General features: G+C 42.9%; 1 long non-coding RNA gene across 1 annotated transcript in view; it reads left to right on the top strand.

Annotated features, from left to right (window-relative positions):
* LOC100506274 (uncharacterized) overlaps positions 1–3,820 on the top strand; it is a 28,994-nt gene extending 25,174 nt beyond the window's left edge. Inside the window, exon 6 of the long non-coding RNA NR_038432.1 lies at positions 3,450–3,820. This is a non-coding gene — a long non-coding RNA (uncharacterized LOC100506274). The remainder of the gene's footprint in view (positions 1–3,449) is intronic.
* Positions 3,821–9,360: the final 5,540 nt, after the last annotated feature.

The raw sequence follows: 9,360 nt of genomic DNA on the forward strand, positions 1-9,360 counted from the left end.
TGCTGTAGTTTGTACCAGAAGCCAGGCACATTTCTGCCCTTGGTTGCAGCCTCTTCTGCCCAGATATTGTCGGTCCATACTTTCACAACCTGTCGTCTCATGGTTAAGGAATCCCTCAGGAGCAGCAGCCACTGCAGCTTCTGGGCTGGCTAGCCACCCTTCTGTAGATTCCATGGGTGGGGAATGGATCTAGACAGCCTATTAGTCACAGCACAACAGGCAGCATGAGCTTCTTGTTGCATCGGTTCCATATGTCCCCAAGGTAGGCCCAGGTGATTGCCATGTACAATGGGGTCTGCATCACAGCTGAGGAACATGGGGTGCCAAACCCCTAACCTTAATGGGGCTGCTAGCAAACCTGCCCAAACTTTGTTTCTGAAGGAGACACTATCCTTATTATCTTGATCACAAAACAAGTCTGCCCTTTGCCCTTAAGGGAGACACTAGCTTCTAATGCTGCTAGATAAATGTAGTCTGAGATGCAGAGACACCATAGAGAACTGCATCCTGACAATTCCTAAAGGTGAAAATGTGGCCAGAAGCAAACTCTATTCATATATGTGTCCATCTGGTGGGCTTCCATAGCATTTGCCTTGCTCAGACTTCTCTTCACAGCCAAGAAGGATGATACAACGTAGAGCATGGAGTGTGGATGAGAAGTCCCCACAAGTTCCCCAGAAGGCTATTTTTCTCTGGAGCAGATAGTCTGAGTGTAGATTGGTATAATCCATTTGGAAAACATTTTGGTAATATGAAGAAAAAGACATATAAGTACATTGATACACATTCAATGGAAATTACAGGTCTTGGAATCAATTCCCAAAGGCATAATTCAAAACTCTTGGGAAGACCCACAAAAATAGATCCTTTATGTAGCAAAAAGGTGATCATAACTTAAGAATAGGAGAATAGATATGATATAGTGTACTTTCTTGATGAATTATTATCTTTTTACTTAAAATGATGGCTATGGACTCCAATAATAAGAAAAATGTCTATGACATAATGTTATATGAAAAACTGGGTTTAAACTGTGTATATAATATGAATACAAATGTGGTAAGACACTCACTCCTAAGGGGAAAAGGTTTGAAGAAAATTCATTAACTCCTAAGCATTTGTTGAATTAGACTGAGAGAATGAAGAATGACTTTTTTTCTCTTTTTATAATTCCCTGCTAACTTTAGACACATAGTTAGATTTTAAAAGGAAAAATATGTATAAGGCTAAAAAGAAAAAAAATCGTAGTGATGTATTAATGCCCTCTCTAGACCTAAATCAGAAACCACCAAGCATTTTTCTTCTTTTTAATGTTGTCTTTTCATTTTTTAGGTTTATTAATTAAAATCTCTCCATTAAACCTATTTGTCTGCCCAGCATAAAACAGCATCCGGGCCTCTAAAGAGAAGTCATGGGACAAACTACCTGCCCAGGGCTCACTGTTGAGGCAAAGGTACCCTTCATCGGACAGGATTCCATTTTTTGTCTCCTGGATCTTTCCTCTTTTTTTTCTTTATTTATTTTTATATTTATGTATTTATTTATTTACTGAGACAGGGTCTCGTTCTGTCCCCCAGGCTGGTGTGCAGTGACGCGATCTCGGCTCACTGCAAGCTCCACCTCCCAGATTCTCGCCATTCTCCTGCTTCTGCCTCCAGAGTAGCTGGGACTACAGGCGCCCGCCACCACACCCGGCTAATTTTTTGTATATTTTTTTTAGTGGAGACGGAGTTTCACTGTGTCAGCCAGGATGGCTTCGATCTCCTAACTTCCTGATCCGCCCCCCTCAGCCTCCCAAAGTGTTGGGATTACAGGCGTGAGCCACCGTGCCAGGCCGATCTTTCTTTTCTCTACAGGAATCCCCCCAGGAATAAAATGCAAATTTGCGTGGGTATTGCAAGGTCCTTAGAAGTTAGTATTGACTCCTTCATAATCCTCTGGCCCTACCCATCATTAATAGAGCCTTCCATTAACAGCATCTCCCCGCCTAAGCATGCTGGGTCCCACCTCGCGACCACCCCTTACTCTAACTGGACCCACACAGAAATTTTTCAAGCTCCTAGAATGTTCCAGGGTCTCTGGCTTCCGAATCTATCACCTACAGTTCTATCTGCCCAGAACTCTCTGCCTCCCCAATTCACTCTCACCAAGCTAGCTGTTTCCTGATTAAAATTGCTTTCTTCATGACAAAACCCTGTACTCCAGATCCCCCAGTCTGGATCAGGCACCCCTGCTGGGTCTCCTCCCTAGGAGCCTTCACCTTAGTCCCTGCCGTTACCTGAGTCTCATCGCCCTCGTGGTGCTCTCAAATGCTCCCTCCACAGTCTGGGAGGTTTTCACTGGGGACTATCCTGGAAAAGGCGTAACATGTGATTCTAAGAGGTGACAGTGAGCACCCACATGTCATCTCAAACTGCTGAGAACAGGGAAGGCAGGTGAAGGTCCCGCTTCTATTGTTTTGTAACAACATAAAAGCACAGTTTATTTCCTACATAAATTTTATTTTCTAAAGAGGCCTTGGGTACTGAGATGTGAGATGGACTTCACGGAGAGCTGGCTGCATCACGAGCCCCAAAGGGTAAGAATCAGGCCTGGGACAGAGCACTCACACACATACCGTGTGCTCACAGGTAAGGGCAGGAGTGCGCAGCAAAGAAAGCTTCACATGGCTCCCATGTAACCTGACTTTTATCTCTGCTTTCACAGAATGAGGCATAAAACTACCAGCTAGGCACTCGCCTTCCTTTCTATTTAAATTTGCTGTATTGGAATGCGTTTCTATGTCTCACCTAAGTTATTGTCTCATAGTGCTTGGATAAACTTTGTTTTCCATTATCTTCCTAAAAATAAACTTCTTGAAATACTGTGTGTTAAATCATCTCAACTTACATCTGAGGTAATCAGGCTTTTGGTAAATTCATGAAGTATTTGTTCCAAGTGTTGGAAATTCACCCTTGAAGTCTCATCTCTGAGTGAAATGTCTGCCTTAGAGAATAACAATGATCACAGCACCCCAGGACTTCTCCTGTGTCAGTGGTTCTCCTCCCTCACCATCTAAGGGGAGGGGGAGAGAAACACCTGCTCTCTCATGGCAGCTCCACACCCCTCCCCACATCTGACTTCCTCCTTGGTGGAGAATTACTGAGCATTCCTGTTAAGAATACAGCACATCTGACAAATAGATTGAATTGAAAAATGTATAAAATCATCTAATTGTTAATTGGAGAACTAGGTAAAATCCTTAATATGTAGAGAAATTTAAACATACTTTTATAGGTTTATATGTATTTGGACAAAGATTTTTTTGTTTTTCTCCAGGCTAAAACACCCATAACCATCATCTTTGGTGAGGAGAAAAGACAGATATTTTAAAAAAATTTGTGTGATGAGAATTTATTTATTCAAATATTGTTTTTTTCTTATTTTCAATCTTCATTTTTTCCCTAAAGATAAATACCCATCACTGTATACATCTACTTCTTGGAATTTGCAAGGGAACCAGTCAACAGATTTTTCAAGCCTTATAAGTTTATCTGCCTGAGAAGTTCACCAGCTACATAACATCCTGGACTCTGGAGCCCAAGAGATGTGTAGTTTCCATTTTGGAGCCATTTTCTTTGATAAATAAGTAGTGAGGCTGCCATTCTTGTCAAAGTTGAGGACCACAACCTTACTCATGAAACTGAAAGATTGTTTGTTATGAGGAGTTCTGTTTGAGCCATACAAGCAATATATCCTTTTTAAAGAAATGTATCCGGAATCTTAGGTGTTCATTGCTCCAAGCCATGTGCAGAATAAAAAGAAAACAAAAAACAAAAAACAGGAAGTGTGAATATTTTTGACCAATACAGTGATTACACTCCATTCCCCAAAAGATTGCCTACAAATGTGTCTAAGCTAGAAATCATCTACAGTCCATACTACGGGGTGGATCAATGGTGATTTCATCAGCACCAGCCCAGCTGCTCCATGACAGAGAGGCCTGCATGCCGCCCTCCATCTTCCACCTGTCCACGGCTGACACACGGTGGGAAAGGGTTTTGCTGACATTGGTGATCTGAGCTGAAAATGTGAAGCCACCTTTTGGCATATAATTCATATTGGTTTTTCAATCATTTGTGTCTGTGTGTTTTCTTTTTGTTGCATTTTTTTTCCCTTCTTAAGAAACTCGTCATGTGGTATTGAAGGTGACCTGACTATGGCAAAGAGCATGTTCTGTGTGGTTTGCCTTTCCACCCACGCACAACACACTTTGCAGACTTGACAGGGATGGATCAGCCCCACAGAAGAGAAAACAGAAAACCAAAAAATACCCCTCCTCTGAAAAATACCCCCGGTGTGAAACTCTTTCTGAGAAAGACTGGCCCTTTTCTTTAATGTAAAAAAATATATATAACAAAAATAGATTTCTTCTCAAGACTCTTGTTTATTCAGATGATATCAATTCTGTTTCCAGCACAACATGTTGTAGCTGCTACTCAGAGATTTTTAGAAAGTCAGATCAACGCGACTGCAATGGGTTTTTGCCGTGAGTGAGCTGTGCTTCTCACTTGCTTACTAGAAGGTAAATGCGTAATTATACAGCACACTCACGGAACAGCAGTGAACTTTATGGGCGTATTTCTAAAACAGTCTGTTTACATCAACGGTGCTATACAAGTAACAAATAATAATAACAGTGTGAAGAAAATTAGCTCCTTAGGATGCATAACAGTTAATATGTAGCTCTGTATAATTAATATCCTGCAATTTAATGTGTTACTCATTTTCTTTTTTCCCTTCCCCTTTACTAGGAAGAAAGAAACAGAATTTGTTTAATTAAATATGGCATTTTCACAGTAGTATCAAGCCATAATATATCAGGCTGAATTAATCTGATTTCCTACCCCATCAACTTGACATTGGGCATCAGTTTATGCCCGACTTCCACTATACCCACTTAGAATATGTAAATGTTGTCACCTCCTCATTGTTATTTCTATCTCCATGCCTAACAAATGTGTAGAGAGTTCTCTCCTCTTTCAAATAATTGTATATACATTTAATCAGTGGTTTTCAACTGGGGCCAATTTTGCTCTTCCAGGGGACATTTGGCGAAGTCTGGAGACATCTTTGGCTGCTATAACTAGGGAAGGAGGGAGTTCTATTAGCGTCTGGTGGGGAAAGGCCAGGGACCCCTGCCATGCCCAGGCACACCTCCACAGCAACTATTCAGCTCAAAGTGTCAGTAGCATTGAGGTTGAGATCCCCTGCATTAGCTCCTTGATCTTTAAAACCATCCTCCAAGGTAGGGATTGTTATCAGTCTCCTCATTTTATGCATGAAATTAAACAAAACAAAACTTAGGCCCAGATGAGCCAAGAGATTTGTATCCAGGATAATCACAGGGCACAAAGTGAAGGACTTGGGTCTTGAATTCAGGACTCGAGTCTAAATCCTTCCACACTTGCCCCAGCCTTTTTTTTTTTCTTGCATTAGTCCTGCTTGCATAAGGCACTTTTGTTTACTGTAGCTGGCAACATATGTGCTCTACAGAAGTGTGTGGGGGCACATGTATTTTCCTGACATTCACACTCTTATTCTAGCAAACAGTTCCTAGGAGGCAAACAAGTCTGACTTGAGGCAAAATTGTGAGAAAAAGCCAAGCCCATCTTTGCGCTTGTGTCCTCCTGTGTTTGTCAGTGCTGCCCCCAACGAAGTGGCCACCCTAGAGAGTCCACTGCTGTGTGTTCTCATTCTTTCCTGGCCAGGGATACTTAACCCCACCCATCAATGCATCTCACTTGTAAAATGTATACCAGACCCATATTGCAGCTAATCAACGAGCCAGGCGGAAAGATGGTATGCTCAGAATGTGGGCATTTCCTGGTAAGCAGGAAAGGCTTCCTGGCCTCTTCAAAGCAGATCAGATTCCTATCGAAGCCTGTCCTCTTTTCTGAGGTGTCAGGGCCACGCACGTTGTGGCTTTTCAATGGAAACATGGTACCTGTCAAATTCAGGAAGGCGTTTTCCTACTGCCAAATGAGCTCTCCATGCTCCCCAAAACAACACTCACGAAAAGCTGCCCAAAGCTAGGGATACAGAGGAGAGGGCTACTTTTTAGAGTGACTTCTAACAAACCATTTTTCCACAAGACAAAAGAGCAGAGAGATTCAGTTGTGTGTTCATCCTGTGGTCTACAATAACAGCAGCCCCTCCACCGTCAGCACCGCCCATGCTATCATGCCTCTGCCTTCTCTCTAGAGCAGTGCACTCCCGGAACACACTGGGAAGGGGCCCTTCCTCTAAACTATCTAGCTGTCACTGTCACCACTTAATAAACAGTTAAAATGCAGTGACTCAGATTGCAAGTGTCAGTTTGGCCTGGGTGATTGTCAAATGGACCCATCCCAGCTAATTTAGGTCTTCCGTGGCTCTACTCAGGATGCCTAAAGGCAGGCCTGATGCCTACACATCCTGGCAAATTCCAGGAGCAAGGGGGGCAAGAAAAGTGCATGGAGAGTGCATCCGGGCATGGTGGCATCCAGGTGTGAGTGACGTGGAAGAAAGACTTGGGAAGGAGGAGCCACGTGCTCTCAATCAGTGAGTAATTTATGGTCTGTGCTCCAAAAACAGCAGCAGTCCCCCTTCTCCTACAACCTCTGGAGGCAGAACCCATGGCTCTGCCATGTCAGGTCTCTCCACACCTGCTGTGACAAGCAGGAGAGAAGAGAGTGTTTGTCACTCAAGGGAGTTCTTCATGGACGGCTTGCACTTGCCGTCGTGAGCCAGCTGGTCCCATCACTCCTTGTACAAGGGGCTTCTCTCCTACGCTCACTTAATTCAGTCAAATAGCATCCATGTGTGGTTCTGGGCCACATTCTATCATCCAGAGTGGCTCATTAAGGATGCCCAAGTGGGGTGAAGAGTGTCTGCAAGTAATTTTGTAAATTTTAACAAACTTAACAAGAAACAGTCTAAAGCATTCAAAACACAAAATCGACCAAGTGCCTGCTACAGGCCAGGCACTGTGCTGGGCTCTGAGGCTGCTCCAGCATAATCCTTGAGCTCAGAAGTTTCAGAGGAAGCAACCAGTTGCCAAATAACTCTATGTACATAATAATAAGATACATGGGATTCTTAAGAAGAAAAAGAATTTCTATCACTGAATACTGGAGACAGGAGATTTGGTGTTGGTAACAGAGAGTATAAACCACAAAGTGCACATGACTTACTGACTTCAAGGTGTGTGGCCAGCCAACAGGTATTCTTGACATCCTTAGCATAGAACATTTTGGAAACATTGTGCTTATTATCCCCATCACCAGCCTTTGCATTGTTGTTTATTTCTTAATTCCACATTTATTCATCTTTCCACATTTATTTATCTTTCCACATTTATTCATCAAGCTTATTCATGTTTCCAGCCTATTTTAGGGCAAAACATTACCTTGAATTTTGTATTTCATGGATGTTCCGATCTGGGTTTTTTTCTGTTCTTTAGACCCGATTGAAATACTATCTCCTCCAGGAAGTTCCCACTGAATGCTTCTGGGATCCAATAATCTATACAGAGTGCCCACTCTTTATTTGCAGGTTTTTAACTCACACATCACTTTTTATTTTTTATCATACGAATTAGGTTTACTGTTGTGCAAATTGCTTTATCCAGTTCACATTCTTACAATCATGAGAAGAATAAGTATATCCAGAAAAATGCTAAACATGTACAAGTTAGTCTTTGGATTCATTGTCACTGAAATCTCACCAGCGCTTTCCATGATCCCCTTACAACACTGCCCTTCCTCCATCCCCACGAAAGTCAGGCCCTTCCCACCATGTGCTGGCATAGAATCCTGAATATGTCCCTTCCAGAGCCCTTAGAAATGACACTGCCATTTGTATTTTTGTGGTTCTCTTTCTCTCTGATGAAACTTGAGTCCTAAAGAACAGAGACTGAATCTGGTTTGCGCCGCATCTTGTTTAGGGCCAGATAAACAGGAGGAAATTAGTGTTCATGTTGACTGCATGTAGGTTTCTGTGTGTAGGTTTCTGTATGTAGGTTTCTGTATGGGGGCATCTGCGTGTGGGCATCTGCGAGTGTGTATCTGCATGTGGGTATCTGCATGTGTGTATCTGCATGTGGGTATCTGCACGTGGGTATCCGTGTGTGGGCATCTGCATGTGGGCATCTGTATTCTGCATGTGGGTATCTGCATGTAGGTATCTGCATGTTGGCATCTGTGTGTAGGTGTCTGTATGTGGGCATCTGCACGTCGGTATCTGCATGTAGGTATCTGCATGTCGGCATCTGTGTGTAGGTGTCTGTATGTGGGCATCTGCACGTGGGTATCTGCATGTAGGCATTTGCATATGGACAGCTACATGTGGATATCTTCATTCTGCATGTGGGCATCTGCATGTGGGTATCTGCATGTGGGCATCTGCATTCTGCACATGGGTATCTGCATGTGGACATTAGCATGTGGGCAGCTGCATGTGCATATCTGCATGTGGGCATCTGCATGTGGGCATCTGCATGTGGGCATCTGCATTCTGCATGTGGGTATCTGCATGTGGGTATCTGCATGTGGGTATCTGCATGTGGGCATCTGCGTGTGGGTATCTGCATGTGGGTATCTGCTTGTGGACATTAGCATGTGGGCAGCTGCATGTGGATATCTGCTTCTAGGTAACTGCATGCAGGTGTCTGTTACTCACATGGGCAGTAGCTCTGAGGAGCCAGCACAAAGTCCTGAGGCTGGAAGCCTGGGACATCCCACTATTTATGTTACACAGATAAGTAGTAATATGCTTGAAACAAATCGTTCAAATCATTCATCACACCGGAAACGTCTTACTATGAGTAAATTCCACCCGTACATAAACAATTTTTGTTTTGTTCTTTAACCCAAACTTATGGACTGACCTTCAAGTAGCAATCTGAGTTTTAACTTTGAACTGTGTCTCTCATTAAGTGTTGAAAGCCAGCTGAGCAATTAGCATTTGAGGAAGTTAGTGTCAGATGTGACCCATGGATGCCTGTGTCCAGAGCTTCGAAATCCTGTCTTCTTATTAGGCTAAACCCTTGGATAACACACAGACCTTATTAGTGAGCCTCAGTAAACTATCATCCCTGAGTTACCTCTGAAACTCATGATGGCTACATTTTTTTGGAATATTTTTGTAAATAATTACCATATAGAATACATATCTGTCTGTTTTATACAGTTTCATGATAGGCATCTCCGTTGTAACCAAGAAAGGTAGTATAACATGGCTGGGAACAACGGATCACTGTCTTGGATCCCATGCCCATGGGTACTTCCTCTTTGACTAGCTGTGCATGAACTTGACTAGGCACTTACCCGTGCAAACTTC

This window comes from Homo sapiens, chromosome 2, assembly GCF_000001405.40.
Source record: "Homo sapiens chromosome 2, GRCh38.p14 Primary Assembly".
NCBI classification, from domain to species: domain Eukaryota; kingdom Metazoa; phylum Chordata; class Mammalia; order Primates; family Hominidae; genus Homo; species Homo sapiens.